Here is a 21534-nt window from a genome sequence, read left to right on the forward strand (position 1 = left end):
CACCATGCCCAGCTAATTTTTTGTATTTTTCTTTTTTTGAGATGGAGTCCTGCTCTGTCACCCAGGCTGGAGGGCAGTGGTGCGATCTCGGCTCACTGCAACCTCTGTCTCCCGGGTTCAAGCAATTCTCCTGCCTCAACCTCCCGAGTAGCTGGGATTACAACTGCGCCCGGCTAATTTTTTGTATTTTTAGTAGAGACGGGGTTTCACCATGCTGGCCAGGCTGGTCTTGAACTCCTGACCTTGTGATCCACCCGCCTCGGCCTCCCAAAGTGCTGGGATTACAGGCGTGAGCCACCTCACCTGGCTTTTTTTCTTTCTTTTTTTTTTTTTTGAGAGAGAGAGAGAGTCTCACTCTTCACCCAGGCTGGAGTGCAGTAGCATGATCTCTGCTCACTGCAACCTCCACCTCCTGGTGCAAGCGATTCTCATGTCTCACCCTCCCAAGTGTCTGGTATTACAAGCATACGCCACCACGCCCAGCTAATTTTTGTATTTTAGTAGAGACAGGGGTCTCACCATGTTGGCCAGGCTGGTCTCGAACTCCTGACTTCGGATGATCCACCCACCTTGGCCTCCCAAAGTGCTGGGATTACAGGAGTGAGCCACCGCTCCCAGCTTGCCACTCTATAAAATGGATCTCCAGCCATCCACTCTGCCAAATGTTTCCTTACTGCATACTACCTGATGCACAAGTTGGTGTGTGTGTGTGTTAACAGCACTTTTGGTCCTAATTTCTGTATCAGTTGGGATGAGAAATTCTGGCTACTGTTTCAAACAACCCTGAAACCTCACTACCTTAACCCAACAGAGTATTTCTTGCTGGCTTCACAGTCCAGGGTGGGGCTGTAGAAGTGCTCTGCACCCCGCAATCACTCCACTTGGGGACCAGCCTGCTATGTGGGCCTCCAGTATGTTCCAGGGCCTCAGACTCCATCTCAGAATCCTCTGGATTTGGGGACATGTGAGAGAGACAGAATGAAGTATTTTACAAGAAATTTTAAAGACCATACCTGAATGCAGCACATAGCCCTTTTGTCTACATTCTGTTGGCCAGAATCCTAATATGCTTGGAAATTGGAAGCTGGGTAACATGCTTATTAGAATTGTGTGCAGTACAAGATTACATGGGCTGTGAGTCAGGATCCAGTGGCTATGCTTGGCTTCTTTAGGGAAAAAATGCACAGATGCTTATAAAATCACAGGCATCCCTCAGAGATATTGCAGGTTCAGTTCCAGACCACCACAATAAAGCAAATATTGTAGTAAAGTGAGTCACACAAATTTTTTTGTTTCCGAGTACATATAAAAGTTATGTTTACACTATACCATAACCTATTAAATGTGCAATAGCATTATGTTTAAAAAAACAGGCCAAGCACAATGGCTCATGCATATAATTCCAGCACTTTGGGAGGCTGAAGCAGGTGGATTGCTTGAGCTCAGGAGTTTGAGATCAGCCTGGGCAACATGGTGATACCAAAAATACAAAAATTAGCTGAGCATGGTGGCCTGCGCATGTGGTCCCAGCTACTCAAGAAGCTGAAATGGGAGGATCACTGCAGCCAGGGAAGTCGAGGTTGCAGTGAGCTGTGATCATGCCACTGCACTCCAGCCTGGGTGACAGAATGAGACCCTGTCTCAAAAAAATAAAAATAAAAATAAACAAAAAATAAAAAATACTGTATTTAAAAAACCCCAATGTACATACTTTAAAATATTTTATTTATTTATTTTTTTGAGACAGTCTCACTCTTGTCCCCCAGGCTGGAGTCCAGTGGTGTGATCTTGGCTCACTGCAACCTCCACCTCCCGGGTTCAAACAATTCTCCTGCCTCAGCCTCCCGAGTAGCTGGGATTACAGGCACCTGCCACCACCCCCGGCTAATTTTTGTATTTTTAGTAGAGCTGGGGTTTCACCATGTTGGACAGGCTGGTCTCGAACTCCTGACCTCAGGTGATCCACCTGCCTTGGCCTCCCAAAGTGCTGGAATTACAGGCGTGAGCCACCGCACCCGGCCTAAAATATTTTATTGTTAAAAATGCTAATGATCATCTGAGCCTTCAGTGAGTTGTAATCTTTTCGTTGGGAAGGGTCTTGCCTTGATGTTGATGGCTGCTGACTGATTAGGGTGGTGGTTACTGAAGGTTGGGGTGGCTGGGGCAATTTCTTAAAATAAGACAACAATGAAGTCTGCCACATTGATTGACTCTTCTTTTCACAAAGGATTTCTCTGTATCATTCGATGCTGGTAGATAGCATTTTACCCACGGTAGAACCTCTTTCAAAATTGGAGTCAGCTGACTCTGGGCACACTGCCTAAGAGTTAGCCCTGCTCTGTAAGGAGCAGCCAAAAAAGAAAAAGAAAAAAAATGGAAGCAATCCTCTCAAACCCTGCCGTCCTTTATCAGCTCAGAATGTGGAATATTCTAAATCCTTTGTTGCTATTTCAACATTGTTCACCAGGAGTAGCTTCCATCTCAAGAAACCACTTTTTTTTTTTTTTTTTTGAGAAGGAGTCTCGCTCTGTCGCCCAGGTTGGAGTGCAGTGACACGATCTCGGCTCACTGCAAGCTCCGCCTCCCGGGTTCACGCCATTCTCCTGCCTCAGCCTCCCAAGTAGCTCGGACTACAGGCGCCCGCCACCACTCCCAGCTAATTTTTTTGTATTTTTAGTAGAGACGGGGTTTCACCATGTTAGCCAGAATGGTCTCAATCTCCTGACCTCGTGATCCGCTCACCTCGGCTTCCCAAAGTGCTGGGATTACAGGTGTGAGCCACTGCGCCTGGCCCCTTTCCAAAAGGTTTTCAATTTACCTTCCCAGAGCCATCAGAGGAATCACTCTGTGGCAACTATAGCCTTATGAAATGTATTCTTTAAATAACAAGACTTGAAAATCAAAATTACTCTTTGACCCATGGATTCTCAGAATGGATGTTATGTTAGCAAGCATAGAGACAACATTAATTTCCTTGTATATCTTCACTAGAGCTCTTGAGCAGTAACATTTTGAAAGGAATATTTTTTCTTTTTTTTTTCTGAACAGTACATCTCAACAGTGGGCTTAAAATATTTAATAAACCATGCTGTAAACAGATATGCCATCATGCAGGTTTTGTTCTTCCATTTATAGAGCACAGGCAGGGTAGATTTAGCATAATTCTTAGGGGCCCTGGAATTTTTAGAACAGTCAGTGAGCACCGGCTTCAAATTAAAATCACCAGTGGCATTAGCCCTTAATAAGAGAGTAAGCCTGTCCTTTGAAGCTTTAAAACCAGGCATTGCCTACTCTTCTGTAGCTATGAAAGTCCTAGATTGCCTCTTCTTCTAATAGAAGGCTGTTTTGTCTACACTGAAAACCTGTTGTTTAGTGTAGCCATCTTCATTAATGATCTTAGCTAGATCTTCTGGATAATTTGCTGCAGCTTCTCCATCAGCACTTGCTGCTTCACCTTGTACTTTTAGGTTATGGAGATGGCTCCTTTCTTTAAACCTCATGGACCAACCTCTGCTAGCTTCAAACATTTCTCCTGCAGATTCCTCACCTCTCAGCCTTCATAGAACTGAAGTGAGTTAAGGCCTTGATCTGGATTAGGTTTTGGCTTAAGGGAGTGTTGTGGCGAATTTAATCTTTTTTTTTTTTTGAGACAGTTTCACTTTGTCACCCAGGCTGGAGTGCAGTGGCGCTATCTTGGCTCACTGCAGCTTCTACCTCCCAAGTTCAAGCGATTCTCCTGCCTCAGCCTCCTGAATAGCTGGGATTACAGGCATGAGCCACTGTGCCTGGCTAATTTTTGTATTTTTAGTAAAGACAGGGTTTCACCATGTTGGCCAGGCTGGTCTCGAACTCCTGACCTCAAGTGATCCACCCACCTCGGCCTCCCAAAGTACTGGGATTATAGGCATGAGCCACTGCACCCGGCCTAGATTTGTTCTTCTATTCAAACCACTCTAACTTTCTCCATATCAGCAATAAGTCTGTTTAGTTTTATCACTCAGGTGTTCACTGGAGTAGCACTTTTAATTTCCTTCAAGAACTTTCCCTTTGCATCCACAACTTGGTCAACTGTTTGGTATAACAGACTCGGCTTTCATCCTGCCTCAGCTTTCAATGTGCCGTCTTCACTAAGCCTAATCATTTCCAGCTTTTGATTTAAAATGAGAGACATGCAACTCTTCTTTTTTACTTCAACACTTACAGGACATTGTAGGATTATTAATTGACGTAATTTCAATATTGCTTTGTCTCAGTGAATAGGGAGGCCTATTCCTGAGACGGAAAAAGGACAGAGATGCAGAATGGCCGGTCAGTGGAGCAGTCAGAACACATATGTTATTAAGTTTTCCATCTTACATGGGCACAGTTTGTAGTGCCCCAAAACAATTATTTAGGTTGGTGCAAAAATAATTGCAGTTCTTGCTATTACTTTTAATGTCAAAAACTGCAATTACTTTTGCACCAACCTAATACAATAGTAACATTAAAGATCACTGATCACAAATCACCATAACAGATACAATAATGAGAAAATCTGAAATATGAGAATCACCAAAATGTGACACAGACATGAAGTGAGCACTTGCCGTTTGAAAAATGGTGCTGATAGACTTGCTTAAAGCAGGTTGGGAGGCCGAGGTGGGCAGATCACCTGAGATCAGGAGTTCGAGACCAGTCTGGCCAACATGGTGAAATCCCATCTCTACAAAACATGAACAAAAATTAGCTGAGCGACGTGGTGTGCACCTGTAATCCCACCTGCTCGGGAGAAGTGCAGTAAAGTGGCATGCCATAAAATGAGGTATACCTGTATTTTATTTTTTCATAGACATGTGTGGTTCAGTTTTTTTTTCTTAGCTGTGTTCCTGAGCAGCTGCAGATTGCTGAGCCTAGAGAAGTGAGAGGTTGTGAACTGGTAAACTTTTACTTTATTTTATTTTGAGACAGGTTCTTGCTCTTTTGCCCAGGTTGAGGTTCAGTGGTGCAATCATAGCTCACTGCAACCTCCAACTCCTGGGCTCAAGAGACCCTCCAGCCTGAGCCTCTGGAGTAGCTGGCTTTACAGGTATTTGCCACCACACCTGGATAACATCTTAAAAATCTTTTTAGAGATGGGGTCTTGCTGTATTGCCCAGGCTGGAGTAAACTTTTATTTTAAAGCAGAGAAGTCTCAGCAGACAATTTTTTATTTTGGTAAACTTCAGAGACAGCTACTTAGTTCTTAGTCCCTGGTGCCATGGCAAGTGGGTACTCGAAAATTCTGAACCTTTTAATGTTGTTTTTTCAGGCGGGTTATCACATTGTATGCTTACCACTGACCAAGACTTTTTTTCTTTTTCTTTTTCTTTTTTTTTTTTTTTTTTTTGAGACAGAGTCTTGCTCTGTCGCCCAGGCTGGAGTGCAGTGGTGCAATCTTGGCTCACTGCAACCTCCACCTCTCGGGTTCAAGTGATTCTTGTGCCTCAGCCTCCTGAGTAGCTGGGATCACAGGTGTGTACCACCATCCCTGGATAATTTTTTTGTATTTTTAGTAGAGACAGGGCTTCACTATGTTGGCCAGTTTGTCTCAAACTCCTGACCTCAAGCGATCAGCCTGCCTCCACCTCCCAAAGTGCTGGGATAACAGGTGTGAGCCACTGTGCCTGGCCCTGACCCAGACTTTAAAATAAATCATCCTGTATTCACGGATTTATTTTTCCAGTTTTGGAGGGAAATTATGAGAAGGGTGGATTAGTCACTCAAATCTCTGCTAAATTCAAGGAGACTGGAGCTTCCTACAGTTTAGATCTGGTTCCCTGGCAAATTGCCTGTGATTTGCTTTAACATTTATACTTCTCCTGCCAAGGGCATGCTATTTTCCTGGAACTGTGGTCTCTTTGCCATGATATTTATTCTGTATTTATCCCACAGACTCCATGGCCGAGTTAATCGCTGATGGAGCCTGAACTGAACCCAAAGCCTTCCGGTGATTCTGATCACACACTTGGAGCGGCTAGAGAAGACCTAGACAGATATAGTCATCAAATGGAAAAATCCTCAACATCCTTGTGAATGGCAGCATGTGAAGGTAAATCAGGGGTTGGGGTGGTCACCCATAGACAGCATTATGAATTCTTATTATTGTTAATATCTGTAACAGAAATTATTTGCCTCCAGGCCAAGCACAGTGGCTCATGCCTGTAATCCCAGCATTTTGGGAGGCCAAGGTGGGAGGATTGCTTCAGGCCAGGAGTTCAAAACCAGCCTGGGCAATATAGTGAGAGCCTATTTCTACAAAATAATTTTTAAAATAATAAAAAAAAAGAAGCCAGGTGTGGTGGCTCACCCCTGTAATCCCAGCACTTTGGGAGGCCAAGGCGGGTGGATCACCTGAGTGATGCTGAGTGACCTGATTGTTGAGAACCAAAAATCAGCCTGGGCACATGGTGAAACCCCATCTCTACTAAAAATTAAAAAAATATTTAGCTGGGCATGGTGACACACGTTTGTGGTCCCAGCTACTTGGGAGGCTGAGAGCAAGAAATTTGGAAGGGGTCTGGGTCCCTGATGAATCCAGACCTCCCATTCCAGTTCTGGAATGCCCTTCCAGATTTTTATGTAAGAGAGAAATGAATTGCTATCCTGTTTAAGCCACTGTCACTGTGATCTTTCTGTCACTTGCAGCTGAGTGGAATCCTAAATGATAAAGTCTTCCATCTTTAGAATGAATATTCTGGATCAAGTAATCTTTTCTCTCTCTCTTCTCTTCTTTTCTTTGTCTTTCTGAATCTGAATGCACATGTGATTGGAATGAGGAGGTCTGGTCTTTCCACTGCTGACCTCTTGCTGGCCAAGATCTCCTTAAAACTCTGACTTCTCTCACAACTTAGCCATTGTTGAGAACCAAAAATGAGTTCTACCCACAAAATGTCCCGGCAAACCTGGTAGACATTCTCCAAATACCCGTGTGGACAAAGTTTGAGGATGTGACTAAAATATCATCAAAATTAAAGTTAATTATAAATTTCCCATCATCTAAGAAAAGTAGGAATTATAAATCCCAGTGGGGAGATGTGAATTTGGCTGTTAGCAATAGTGATGAGTGTAGATTCTGGGGATAGTTAGTGAAGACATAAAACTTGGCAACTAAAGTCGTGGAGACAAAGCTCCTGCTTGGGACATGGGTGACCCGCACCGTACAAAACAACGGCAACCACTCAGATCTTCCTTCAACCGGAAACTGGTAATTATCCCTTATTTTAAATAGTTGATTTAAAAAACATCAAGCAGCCAGGCATGGTGGCTCACGCCTGTAATACCAACACTTTGGAAGGCCGAGGCAGGTGGCTCACTTGAGGTCAGGAGTTCAAGACCAGCCTGGCCAACATGGTGAAACCCTGTCTCTACTAAAATACAAAAATTAGCCAGGCTTGGTACTGCATGCGTGTAATCTCAGCTACTCGGGAGGCCGAGGCAGGAGAATCACTTGAAACTGGGAGGTGGAGGTTGCAGTGAGCCAAGATTGTGCCACTGCACTCCAGCTTGGGTGACAGAGCGAGACTTCATCTCAAATAAATAAATTAATCAATTAAATAAAAAACATCAAGCCAAACAAATGGCTGCAGGAGATTCCTGGCCCCCAGAGTTACCAAGAGTAACACCCAGAAGAGTCAGCTCAAATGCTCAGTAACCTTGGATGGTTCTCTCTGGTTTGCCCCAGAGTATGGGTTTTGTCTATTTTTCAAGATAGCCAACTAGGGACTTCTGGTTCTGGGAAGATGAAATAGACATATTTCTCCCTAGTTTTTCCCACTGAGTATAACTAAAAACCCTGAAAAATTATATAAAAACAAACATAAGAAACCCAGAGAGATGGAGAGAAGAAGACAGACCAACTAAGGACATTGAGTCCAGCATGGTGGTGAATCCCTGGGTTTTCCTTTTGATTCTGGCCCTTACCCCTGCAAATGCTACCAAATGTTGAGTGGGAGACTAGATGTCCCATCTCATGAGGCTGTAATGTAAACTGTGAATATAAAATGCATAGGTAGAGCCTACTGCCAGGGTGGTATGAGAGAGGGCAGAATAGAGGGCCAAGAATTTCATCCCTAATAGGAGATAATGACCCCCACCCCCGCAACCCCACTTTATGGAATCCATGGAGACCACGTGAGGGTCCTGGACTTCTACCCCTAACTCACAGTAATGAGCCCCTGCAATGGCCTTTCCACTGGAGTGGTGGCAGAGGAGCCCTAGCAGAGAGTCAGGACTTTCACCACTGCCTAGCAGTAACAAGGTCACTCTGCACCTTGTGGCCTCAGTGGCCATATGTAGTGTAGTAACCAGGCATCCCTACCTCTACCAGCCAGGGAAGTATCAATGCAGGCCTATTGGAAGGCTGGAACTCTCACTCCCACCTAGCAATAAAAATAAGTACTTTTTCCTCTATCAGATATAAACAGAGTCAACTGAGAGATCTGGATTTCTACCTCCATTTAGCAGTAATGAGGCAGAACTCCTTCTTCCCTTGCCAGAATAATGTCACAGAAAGCCACCAGAAACAGAAGGTATTGATAAGATCCAAAGTCTCATAACACCCCCAAATTCCAAGTTTAAATAAAAAATCGTTCATTATGAATGATCCAAAAACCATGCAGGTCTCAAATTGAATGGAAAAAAAAATCAGTGGATGCCAACACCAAGATGACAGAGATGTTAGAATGATCTTGAAAAGATTTTAAAGTAGCCATTATAAAAATGCCTCAATGAGCAATCAAGAACAAGCTTAAAACAAACAAATAAGCAAACAAAAACACTCAGCAAAGAAATAGAAAGCCTCAGCAAAGAAGTGGAAGATATGAAGTAGAACCAAATTAAAACTTTAGATGTGAAAAATACAATAACAGAAATTATAAGCTCAGTGAATGGGCTCATCAGCAAAATAGAAGGCACAGAGGAACAAATCAGTAAACTTGAAGATGGAATGACAGACATTACCCAATCTGAACAGAGAGAAAATAGACTTTAAAAAAATGAACAGAATTGCAAGGACTTGTGGGACTGTAACAAAAGGGCTAATATTTGTGTCACTGAATTCCTGGAAGAAGAAGAAAAAAAAGAGGGCAATGCTGAAAAGTATTGGAAGAAATAATGGTGAAAAATTTCCAAGTTTGGCAGAAACATAAGCTACAGATTCCAGAAGATGAGTAAAACCCAAACAGAATAAAACAAAAAAAATCCAGGCCAACACACTTCATAATCAAATTTCTAAAAACTGAAGATGAAGAAAAAATCTTGAAAGCAGCAAGAAAAGAACAACATGTTACTTACAGAGGGAAAGAAATCAATCTTAATGACAGTAGATTTTTCATCAGAAACCATGGATTCTGGAAGGAAGTGGCACAACATTTTTCAAGTGCTGAAAGAAAAGAACTGCCAACCAAGAATCCTGTACGCAGTGAAAATATCCTTCAGGAAACAAAGGGAAGTCAAGGCATCCTCAAATAAAGGAAAACTAAAACTGTGTCATCAACAGACATGTTTTAAATAGGGAAAAGGAGTTCTTGGAAAAAAAAGAAAATGATAAAAGAAGTAATCTCGGAATATCTGGGAAGAAGAAAACACATGGTAATAAAAATATGGGTAAATATAATAGATTTTCCTTTCCTAAATTGTGTTTGATGGTTGAAGCAGAAATTATAACACTGTTTGATGAGGTTCTAAATGTATGTATAGGAAAAACTTAAGACAATTATGTTAGAAATAGGGAAAAGTAAAGGGGCATAAAAGGAGGTAAAGTTTCTACCGTTCACTCAAACTGGCAAAATGAAAACTATAAGAAGTTATGTATATGTAATGAAGAGTAACCACTGAAAAAAGATTTGCAAGGAGATATACTAGAAAACACCGAAAATCGGCTGGATGTGGTGGCTTATGTCTGTGATCCCAGTACTTTGAGAGGCCAGGGTGGGAGAATCACTTGAGGCCAGGAGCTTGAGACAAGCCTGGGCAACATAGTGAGACCCCATATCTAAAAAAAAAAAAATTAGCTCGGTGTGGTGGTATGCACTTGTAGTCCCAGCTATTCCGGAGGCTGAGGCAGGAGGATCACCAGAGCCAAATGGAAGAAGGTCAAGTTTACAGTGAGCCATGATCACGCCACTGCACTCTAGTCTAGGTGACAGAGTGAGGCCTCTTTTCTAAAACAAACAAACAAGATAAATCAAAATGGAATTCTAATAAATGTTTAAGTAACCTACAAGAAAGTAGTAAAAAGAAAACAGAGAAATAAATTTTAAAAAACCAGAAAGAACAAACAGAAAACAAAAAATAAAATGGCAAAGTTAGGCTGGGTGCGATGGCTCATGCCTGTAATCCCAGCACTTTGGGAGGCAGAGGTGGGTGGATCACTTGACGTCAGGAGTTCAAGACCAGCCTTGCCAACATGATCTCTACTAAAAATACAAAAATTAGCCAGGCATGGTGGTACACACCTATGGTCCCAGCTACTCAGGAGGCTGAGGCAGGAGAATCGGTTGAACCCAGGAGGCAGAGGTTGCAGTGAACTGAGATTGCGTCACTGTACTCCAGCCTGGATGACAGAGTGAGACTGCATCTCAAAAATAAATAAATAAGTAAATAAATAAAAATAAAAGAACAAAAACGTGATCCAACTATATGCTATGTACAAGAACCTCTCTTCAAATATAATGACAGAGGCAGGTGGAAAGTAAAAGGATGAAATAAGAAGTATCAAAAAGATTAATCAAAGGAAAGCAGAAATGGCTATATTAATATTAGATAAAGTAGACTTTAGAGAAAAGAAAATTACTAGGGACATAGAAGGACATTACATAATAAAAGATTTAATCCTCCAATAACAGACAGCAATCCTAAGTGTGTATGCACCAAACAACTGAGCTGCAAAAATATATGAGGCAAAAACTAATAGAACTGTGCTATGGTTTGAATGTTTGTTCCTTACAAATCTCATGTTCATATTTAATCCCCATTGTTGGAGGTGGGATCTGGTGGGAGGTGTTTGATCATAGGGAAAGATTCCTCATGAATAGCTTAGCAGCCTCCCCTTGGTGATGAGTGAGTTCTTGCTCTGAGTTCATGCAAGATCTGGTGTTTAAAAGTGTGTGGCACCTTCCTCCCCATCTCTCTCTCCTGCTCCCTCTCCCACCATGTGATATGTCTGCTCCCTCTTGGCCTTCTACCATGACTGTAAGCCTCCTGAAGCCCTCACCAGAGGCAGATGCTGGCACCATGCTTCTTGTACAGCCTACAGAACTATGAGCCAACTAAACCTCTTTTCTTTATAAATTACCCAGTCTCAGATACTCCTTATAGCAATGCAAAAACAGTCTAACAAAACTGAAAAGAGAAACAGACACATCTACAATTATAGCTGGAGGTTTCTACACCTCTCTCTCAATAATTGCTTAGAACAAGCAGACAGAAAATCAAAAGATTGTAAGAAGGCTTAACAACATCATCAACCAACAGGATCTAATTAAACTTTATAGAGCATTCCACCTAACAACAGCAGAATACATATTCTTTTCCAGTACCCATGGGACACATACCAAGATAGATTACATCCTGGTCCATGAAACAAACTTCAGAAAATTTTAAATAATTGAAAACATAGAGTGTGTTCTCTGACCAGTGGAATCAAATTAGAAATCAATAAAAGAAAGATGAGGAGTACAACTACAAACACTTGAAAAATAAGCAACACACTTTGAAGTAATCTACGAGTCAGAGGAAGTCTCAAGGGGAATTAAAAATGCGTTGAATTGAATGAAAATAAAATGGCAGCCTACCAAAATTTGTGGGACACAGCTAAAGCAGTGCCAAGAAGGAAATCTAGAATTTTGGGGCTCAAGTGATCCTCCTGCTTCAGCCACCAGAGTAACTGGGACTATGCATGCCACCAAGCCAGCAGTTTGGCAGTTAAAAAAAAAAAAAAAAACAAACACGCAGCTACCACGTGACGCAGCAATTGCACTTGTGGGCATTTAACTCAGAGAAATGGAAATTTATGTTCACAGAAAACTAACTATACATAAATATTTATAGAAATTTTGTTCATTACTGCTAAAAATTGGAAACAACCTAGATGTCCTTCCATAGATGAATGATTAAACTTTGGTACATCCATACCATGGAATACTACTCAGCAATAAAAGGGAGCCAACTACTGATACACATATTGATAACATGTGTGAATCTCTAGAGGATTATGCTGAGTGAAAAAAGTCAATGCGCAAAGGTTACATACTATATAATTCCATCTAGATAACATTCCCCCCACATTTTTTTTTTTTTTGAGATGGAGTTTTGCTCTTGTTGCCCAGGCTGGAGTGCAGTGGCATGATCTCAGCTCACTGCAACCTCAGCCTCCTGGGTTCAAGCAATTCTCCTGCTTCAGCCTGCCTTGGTCAGGCTGATCTTGAACTCCCAACTCCCAACCTCAGGTGATCCTCCCACTTCGGCCTCCCAAAGTGCTGGGATTACAGGCGTGAGCCACCGCACCCGTTTTTTGTTTTTTTTTTTTTCTGAAATGGCGTCTTGCTGTTGCCCAGGCTGGAGTGTAAGTGGCCTCTCAGCTCACTGCAACCTCTACCAACAGGGTTCAAGCAATTCTTGTGCTTCAGCCACCAAGTAGCTGGGCCTACAGGCACACCACCACACCCGGCTAATTTTTGTATTTTTAGTAGAGACAAGGTTTTGCCATGTTGGCCAGGCTGGTCTCGAACTCCTGGCCTCAAGTGATCTGCCCACCTCGGCCTCTCAGAGTGCTGGGATTACAGGCATGAGCCACCATTTCCAGCCTATATAATACTCTTGAAATGACAAAGTTATAGAAATGGAGAATAGATTAGTGGTTGCCAGGGATTACAGAATGATAGGAAGAAAGGCCCATGGCTATGAAAGGGCTTCATGATAATCCTTGTGATGGAAATGTTCTGTATCTTGACGGTATCAATGTCAATATCCTGATTGTGATCTAGTTTTGCAACATGTTACCATTGAGGGAAACTGGATAAAAAAATACACAGGATTTCTCTTTCTTTCTTTCCTTCCTTCCTTCCTTCCTTCCTTCCCTCCCTCCCTCCCTCCTTCCTTCCTTTTTTTTTTTCACACCCAGGAAAGACCTGAGAATCTATTTCTTTTTTCTTTTTTTTTTTTTGAGTCAGGGTCTCGCTTGTTGCCCAGCCTGGAGTGCAGTGGTGCGATCTTGGCTCACTGCAACCTCCCCACTCCATGGGCTCAAATGATTCCCCCACTTCAGCCTCAGGAGTAGTTGGGGTTACAGGCATGCGCCACCACATCTGGCTTACTTCTTTGTTTTTAATTTTCTTTCCGCTTAGTTTTGTATTTTTTGTAGAGACAGGGTTTCGCCATGTAGCCCAGGCTGGTCTCAAACTTCTGAGCTCAGGCCATCTGCCTGCCTCACCTCCCAAAGTGTTGGGATTACAGGCGTGAGCCACTGCACCTGGCCTGAGAATCTATTTCTTATAATTGCATATGAGTCTACAGTTATCCCAAACAAAATTTTTTATTTTTTTATTTTTTACTTTTTTTGAGACGGAGTCTTGTTCTGTCGCCCAGGCTGGAGTGCAGTGGCGTGATCTCGGCTCATGCAGCCTCTGCCTCCTGGGTTCAAGTGATTCTCCTGCGTCAACCTCCCGAGTAGCTGGGATTATAGCTGCGTGCCAGCACGCCTGGCTAATTTTTGTATTTTTAGTAGAGACAGGGTTTCACCATGTTGTCCAGGCTGGTCTTGAACTTCTGACCTCAGGTGATCCACCCGCCTCAGCCTCCCAAAGTGCTAGGATTACAGGCGTGAGCCACTGCGTCCAGCCCAAAACATAATTTTTTTTTTTAGATGGGGTCTCTCTCTGTCACCCAGGTTGGAGTGCAGTGGCGCGATCTTGGCTCACCGCAACCTCCGCCTGCCAGGTTCAAGCAATTCTCCTGTCTTAGACTCCCGAGTAGCTGGGACTACAGGCACCACACTTAATTAAATTTATGTTTCAGGCCAGGAGCGGTGGCTCATTCCTGTAATCCCAGCACTTTGAGAGGCTAAGAAGGGCGGATCACCTGAGGTCGGGAGATTGAGACCAGCCTGGCCAACATGGAGAAACCTCATCTCCACTAAAAATACAAAAATTAGCTGGGTGTGGCAGTGTGTGCCTGTAGTCCCAGCTACTGGGGAGGCTGAGGCAGGAGAATCACTTGAAACCAGGAGGCAGAGGTTGCGGTGGGCTGAGATCACGCCATTGCACTACAGCCTGGGCAACAAGAGTGAAACTCTGTCTCAAAAAAAAAAAAAAAAACGAAAAACAAACAAAAAAAACACCTGAAAACTTGAGGCCAGGCGCGGTGGATCACGCCTGTAATCCCAGCACTGTGGGAGGCCAAGGTGGGTGGATCACCTGAGGTCAGGAGTTCGAGACCAGCCTGGCCAACATGGCGAAACCCCGTCTCTACTAAAAATACAAAAATTAGCCAGCCATGGTGGTGCATGCCTGTCGTCCCAGCTACTTGGGGGACTGAGTCAGGACAATTGCCTGAATCCGGGAGGCAGAGGTTGCAGTGAGCCAAGATCGCACCATTGAACTCCAGCTTGGGTGACAGAATGAGACTCCACCTCAAAAAAATAATAATAATAATTATTATAATAATAAACTGAAAACTTGGACAAGCCCAATGGCTCACACCTATAATCCCAGCATTTTAGGAAGCAGAGGCGGGAAGATCCCTTGAGCCCAAGAGTTTGAGACCAGCCTGGGCAACACACAGAGACCTTGTCTCTACAAAAAATGAACAAAATTAGCCAGGCTTCGTGGTATGTGCCTGTAGTCCCAGCTACTCAGGAGGCTGAGGTGGGAGGATGACTTAAGCCCGGGAGACAGAGGTTGCAGTGAGCTGAGATGGCGCCACTGCACTCCAGCTTGGGTGACAGAGGGAGACCCTGTCTCAAAAATGACAACAACAAACAAAACAACAACAACAAAACATAACAAAAAACCCCAAAAACTCCTTTATCTGTCTGATTACAGATGTATTAATTTATTAGATGTTCCATGCAAAAGGCAGCCAGTTTTTACACAGATTTATAAAAAATCGAAGTCTGGGGTTTTCAGGTCAGTACTTAATATGAGGAACCAGAGGTCTTCAGTGTAACTATTTCACTATAAGCCACTGTCCATACACACATGAAGTGGTGGCCTTTTCTTGGGTCATGACTCAATTAGGTCCAAGTTAAGTAGCATGAGCCCTGACGAGTCATTCTCATAAGCACCAACACCATAACCCACCTTGAGAGGCAGGGGGGTTCTTTTGAGAATTTGCTAATAATATCCAGTCAGAAAAAAATGGTTTTGTTTTGGCCTCCCCTCCTTTAGCTTAGACTTAGAGCATAATGTTATCTTTCCTGTTCTGGCTTACCTAGATGCATAACTTTCTAGTGTGAAAGAATGAAAAGATAAGCATTCTTTTCTATGCAGACTACACATGAAGATTTGTTATCACGACACAGGAGTGGCCTTAACAGGCATTTTTATTGCCCGAAAGAACAGCTTCAGGTCAACTATTCAAAAGCCAAGTTCACTGTTTTTTTGTTTGTTTGTTTTGTTTTTGTTTTTGTTTTTGTTTTGAGACTGAGTCTCACTCTGTTGCCCAGGCTGGAGTGCACTGGCACGATCTTGGCTCACTGCAACCTCCACCTCCTGGGTTCAAGCGATTCTCTTACCTGGCCGCCTGAGTAGCTGGGATTACAGGCACCTGCCACCACACCCAGCTAATTTGTTATATTTTTGGTAGAGATGAGGTTTCACCATGTTGGCCAGGCTGGTCTTAAACTCCTGACCTCAAGTGATCCGCCCGCCTCGGCCTCCCAAAGTGCTGGGATTACAGGCGTGAGTCACTGCATCCAGCCTTTAGGTTCACTGTTTAGAGCAGATATCCCATAATGTTTTCCCAGTTTGCCCCACATAAGCCCCTAAGACCAGTAAGTTCACTCATGGTCTGTGGCTTGGGTAGAAAATGAAAAGGGGCATGTACTGTCCACCCAGAGACAAGGGGTATGCCTCTCTAGGGAAGGCAGGCAGACTGGTTCTTAGGAGGCCTCAGGTGGCACTTGTCACCTCCAGCAATTTTCCATGGTCTGCTGGGTGGTCTTTGGTCTTACAGGCTAAGAAACCTAGTTTTGCCAGTTACACTCACCAGGCCTATGAGATTAGATAGAAAAGCAAAACTCGATGCATTAATTTACTGAGAGGCACGTTCCATATTTGCTTTCATCAATGCTTTCAGACTACAAAGAAGTCTCTAAGAACCAGGAAATGAGGGTGCCCACTGAGACTTAAGCTACAAAATCAAAATATAATGGATGCCATAGACTGAGATATCTGCATGGGCACAGGCAGCCCATTCTCTCCCTGTAGTCAAGTTGTGTGGGAAGCAAAATCATAAACTGAATAACAATTAAATTCATTTACAATGTCAAAGATAATTGTTATGAAGATGGGAATACATGGCATCCATATTCTCCATACAGAATTTCTCTGCAGGGACACTGACATGAGGAGCCAGAGTCATCAGGAGATTGCTTATCAACGTGGAATGAAAACAAGAAGAGTCAGATTAATTGAATTTTTTTTTTGGCAGTGAGTTGTTACACACTTGTTAGCAGACTGCCACCGTCCTGCTAGATTAATTGAATCTATAATGGTATCAGGCACACATAGCGTGATACACACCGCTCACATTAGGGAAAGTCTTGTCTACGGGATCTAAACATTTATATTCCCTTGGTGACAATCTCCTATGTCTAGCCCCACATTGGGAATGGCCTTTCTAGGCAAAAAATTGTCAAGATTCAAAAGCTGTTGGCTGAAATTTCTGCTCCCCTAGGCAGCGCTTGGCTGTGCTTTGCCCAGTTTCCCTCCAGGCTTTTTCTAGGTAGCCAAGTCCTGCCTGGGTGTCATTCTCTTTCTTTAAAGGCGATTTTGCATATTTGTACTTTAACCCACTATGGGTTTTTGTTTGTTTTTTGAGACGGGGTCTCAGTCTGTCACATCGGCTGGATTGCAGTGGTGCGATCTCGGCTCATTGCAATCTCCACCTCCCCAGCTCAAGCAATCTTCCCACTCAGTCTCCAGAGTAGACGCGACTACAGGCATGCGCCATCATGCCTGGCTAATTTTTGTATTTTTTGTAGAGATGGGGTTTTGCCATGTTGGCCAGGCTGGTCTTGAACTTCTGGGCTTAAAGTGATTTGCCTGTCTTGGCCTCCCAAATTGCTGGGATTATAGGCCACTGAGCCTGGCCAACCCATTATGTTTTGATTTTATAGTTTAGTTCTCAGAGGATCATCTCATTCCAAGCTCTTGGGATGCTGCTTGGTAGCCTACAAATAATGACAAGCAAATATCTTGCAACTTATTTATCTTGGAAGCCACCCCAAGAAGCTGTGCAGCTGAAATCAATAAAGATTTTTCTTTTATTGACCCACGTGGTCATTGGTACACCTGCTCTAAAACTTCAAGGTCAAAATGACTTCTGTATTGTTACAGGGGTGGAGGCTGTGGGCTTTTTTCCATAGTCCGTGTCAAATGGGGCTCCTACTCTCAGTACGGTGTAAATAAAATAACACAACATTGAGCCTGCACATGTCGGTAGCTCACTAAACTGAATGTTACTTCAAACAGATTGATATGTAATATTTATTTATTTATTTATTTATTTAGAGACAGGATCTTGCTGTGTCACTCAGGCTGGAGTGCAGTGGCACAAACATGGCTTACTGCAGCCTCAACCTCCTGGGCTCGAGCAATCCTCTAGCTGTAGCCTCCCAAGGTGCTAAGACTATAGGCATGTACCACCACACCTGGCTAGTTTTTATAAGAACTGACATATGTATATGAAAATAGTTTTTATTCACCCCTCTGAAGAATCTGTATTTGTCTCTTTTCTACAGTTGATTTTGAATGTTATACTTTTGCCATAGGGTGACATGGGGTGACAAAGCATTCATCTACCAGAAAGAAGTATGAACTCCTTTCTTGTGGCTTGGTTCATAAGCATAATCTGTTTATGCTGCTGACAATAATTCCCCTTTTTAGCTCTGACATTGCTAGAGAAAAGTGAATACATTTACTATGGAATTTTAAGCACTAAAGCACTAAATCTCTCTAAGTGGAATGATGACGGATCTTTGCTTGTTTTGCATCTTTAGTGGGCAGACAGCCTTATTCAGGGGCTTATCATTAGTGATGGTAAGGACGCACACTGGTTTCTTCACCTGGCTTCCCTAGTTCAAGTCAGGTTGCATGATGACTTACCTTTGCTGCCACACCCTTTATTAGTTGTCATCAGATGAAGGAATCTGAACCAGGAATTCGAGTCTAGGTACCTTCATTGCCAGCAGGCAGGCGAGCCTGGAACTGAATTAGGGAGAGCCTCAGAGCAAGTGTTTCCTGAACAGGACTGGGCTCCTGGGGCACAACCATTTTCAGAGCATAGAGCCCTGAACTGTACACATTTACAACATACACATGCCAAGCAGAGACCCCCACTGCAAATAAAATCCAAGGGTTTGATATATACAACACCATTCCCATCGACCCACTTCCATCCCTCCCAGATTCTCTTTTTTTTTTTTTCTTTTTTAGACAGGGTCTCCCTCTGTTGCCCAGGCTGGAGTGCAGCCTTGAACTCCTGGGCTCAGGATCCTCCTGCTTTAGCCTCTTGATAGCTGGGACTACAAGTGTCAGCCACCACACCTGGCTAATTTTTTTATTTTGAATTTTTTTAGAGACAGGGGTTTTGCTCTGTTGCCCAGGCTGGCCTTGAACTCCTAGGCTAAAACGATCCTCCTGCCTCAGCCTCCCAGAGTGCTGGGATTCCAGGCATGAGCCACTGTGCCCAGCCTCCCAGATTCTCATTTATGGGTCTCTGCTGAGAAAACAGACTGTTACTGTTACAATATATTGTAAAGGCAATTCATATAGAATTTCTTATCTCATTATGACCTTTATATATTTCTTTGAAATTAATCAATCTAAAAATCACTGCATTTCCTGGAAAGTTATTGCTTGGAAAGTTACCTCACTGTAGTAGCCAATGAATTGTCAGTTGAACTAATATATTAGACCATTTGGCTCTCAGTAGAAATGTATCAATGCAGTTATGATGTCTTTCTTTTCAACTATCACTAATCTATCTCATGGCCTTGCAAAAATAATTTGGCTTTTTTGTTCTGAGCAATTTCCCTTCTGCCTACATCACTGCATGATGTGGAGTTATGATAATAAAAGTAATACCAACCACCGTCATCATCACCACAATAATAGTTGACATTTAATTTTATGTGTCAGCTTGACTGGGCTGAGGAGTACCCAGACTGCTAGTAAAACATGATTTCTGCTGGGCGCTGTGGCTCACGCCTGTAATCCCAGCACTTTGGGAGGCCGAAGCGGGTGGATCACCTGAGGTCAGGAGTTTGAGACCAGCCTGACCAACATGGAGAAACCTCGTCTCTACTAAAAATACAAAATTAGCCAGGCGTTATGGCACACGCCTGTAATCCCAGCTACTCGGGAGGCTGAGGCAGGATAATCGATTGAACCTGGGAGGTGGAAGTTGTGGTGAGCCGAGATCATGCCATTGCACTCCAGCCTGGGCAACAAGAGCAAAACTGTCTCAAAAACAAACAAACAAACAAAAAACAAACAATCAAAAAACATGATTTCTCAGTATGTCTATGAGGGTGTTTCTGGAAGAGATTAGCATTTGAACTGGTGGACTGAGTAAAGATCTGCCCTCACCAGTTGAGTGAGCATCATCCAATTCATTGAGGACCTGAATAGAATAAAAAGGCAGAGGAAGGGTGAATATGCCTTCTGTTTGATCTGGGATTTCAATCCTCCTGGTTTTGGGGCCTCTGGACTCAGACCAATACTTAAACCATCCCTGGACTCAAGCCCTCTGATTGGTTTTCTTGGTTCCCCAACTTGCAGATGGCAGATTGTGGGACTTCATCTCTGTAATTCTGTGAGCCAATTCCTGTAATTAATCTCTCTCTCTCTCTCTCTATATATATCTCCTGGAATATTACATCACTGAGTCATTTTTACTCCTGGACTTTTAGCTGTAGTAGCCAACTAATTGTCAGTTACATATATGGTCAGATTTATCACCTATCAATATTCTTTTGATTCTATTTCCCTGTAAAACCCTAATACAAATAGCACTGAACATTTCAATGTTTTAAGCACTGTTCTACGTACTTCACATATATTAATACACTTAATCCTCGCAGTCTCGTGAAGTAGAAACTATTGTTATCTCCATTTTATAATGAGGAAACTGAGGGACAGAGAGGTTAGCTAACTTGCCTAAGGTTATACGCGTATCAAAAGATAGGTATATAACTGCTTTTAAAAAATAGTTTGTTTTTAGGCTATAAAAATGATACATACAGTTTTTACAGAGTTCTTATTATACAAATAATTATAATTCTTCCAAACATTTCTTTATGTATCTAGGGATATGCGGACTCATTATTATCATAACATAAATGAAATTAAGCACACAATACTTTTCTGTAATCTGCCTTTCTCTCTTTTCTTTCTTTCTCTCTCCCCTCCCCCTCCCTCCCTCCTTTTCTTCTTTCCTTCCTTCCTTCCTTCTGACTTTGTTTTCTAAGATGATCTCTTTTCTTTTCTTTTTTTTTTTTTAAAGAAGGAGTCTCGCTCTGTTGCCCAGGCTGGAGTACAGTTGTGCGATCTCAGCTCATTGCAACCTCCACCTCCTGGGTTCAAGCAATTCTCCTGCCTCAGCCTCCCGAGTAGCTGGGATTACAGGCGCATGACACCACACTCAGCTAATTTTTGTATTTTTAGTAGAGATGGGGTTTCACCATGTTGAACAGGCTGGTCTTGAAGTCCTGACCTCAAGTGATCCCCCCGTATTGGCCTCCCAAAATGCTGGGATTACAGGCGTGAGCCACTGTGCCCAGCCCAGACTGGTCTTGAACTCCTGGCATTAAGCGATCTTCCCACCTTAGTTTCCCAAAGTGCTGGGATTACAGGCATGAGCCACAACACCCAGCCTGCAATCTACTTTTTCTCCTCCATTAGATGATCCAGCATAGGTAGACATCAACAGTCCTTTTAACACTCTTTGGTTATTAGAATGATTGGGCTGAGGGGAACCTCCCAGCCGCATCAGAAGGGTGGACTTGATCAGTGTTTCCAGTCCATGATGGATTCTTTACAGCAAGTTTTATTTTAGTCTGATTTTTAATGTAGCTCTCCTTGAGAATGCCACAAAAATCTTTTCTGGAATGCAAGCCAGGAAGGGCTGCTGGTCACTGACTCTGAACTGGGAGCCTGATCTTCTTCTCCAGCTCTCTGGAGAACTGGCACCAAACTTTGGGCTGACCACTAGTTTGGTGACATCTGAGGTCATATGCTAGCTGGCACCAGCTAGCAGTGCATGGAGACACATACCCGCAGAGGTGAAGCTGAGCCG

General features: G+C 43.1%; 1 long non-coding RNA gene across 1 annotated transcript in view; it reads left to right on the forward strand.

Moving 5' to 3' along the window:
• The window catches only part of LOC105375683 (uncharacterized), a 110442-nt gene that overhangs the window by 50266 nt on the left and 38642 nt on the right, over positions 1 to 21534 (forward strand). The window contains exon 4 of the long non-coding RNA NR_168428.1: positions 5911 to 6067. This is a non-coding gene — a long non-coding RNA (uncharacterized LOC105375683). The remainder of the gene's footprint in view (positions 1 to 5910; positions 6068 to 21534) is intronic.

Source organism: Homo sapiens, chromosome 8 (genome assembly GCF_000001405.40).
Source record: "Homo sapiens chromosome 8, GRCh38.p14 Primary Assembly".
NCBI lineage: Eukaryota > Metazoa > Chordata > Mammalia > Primates > Hominidae > Homo > Homo sapiens.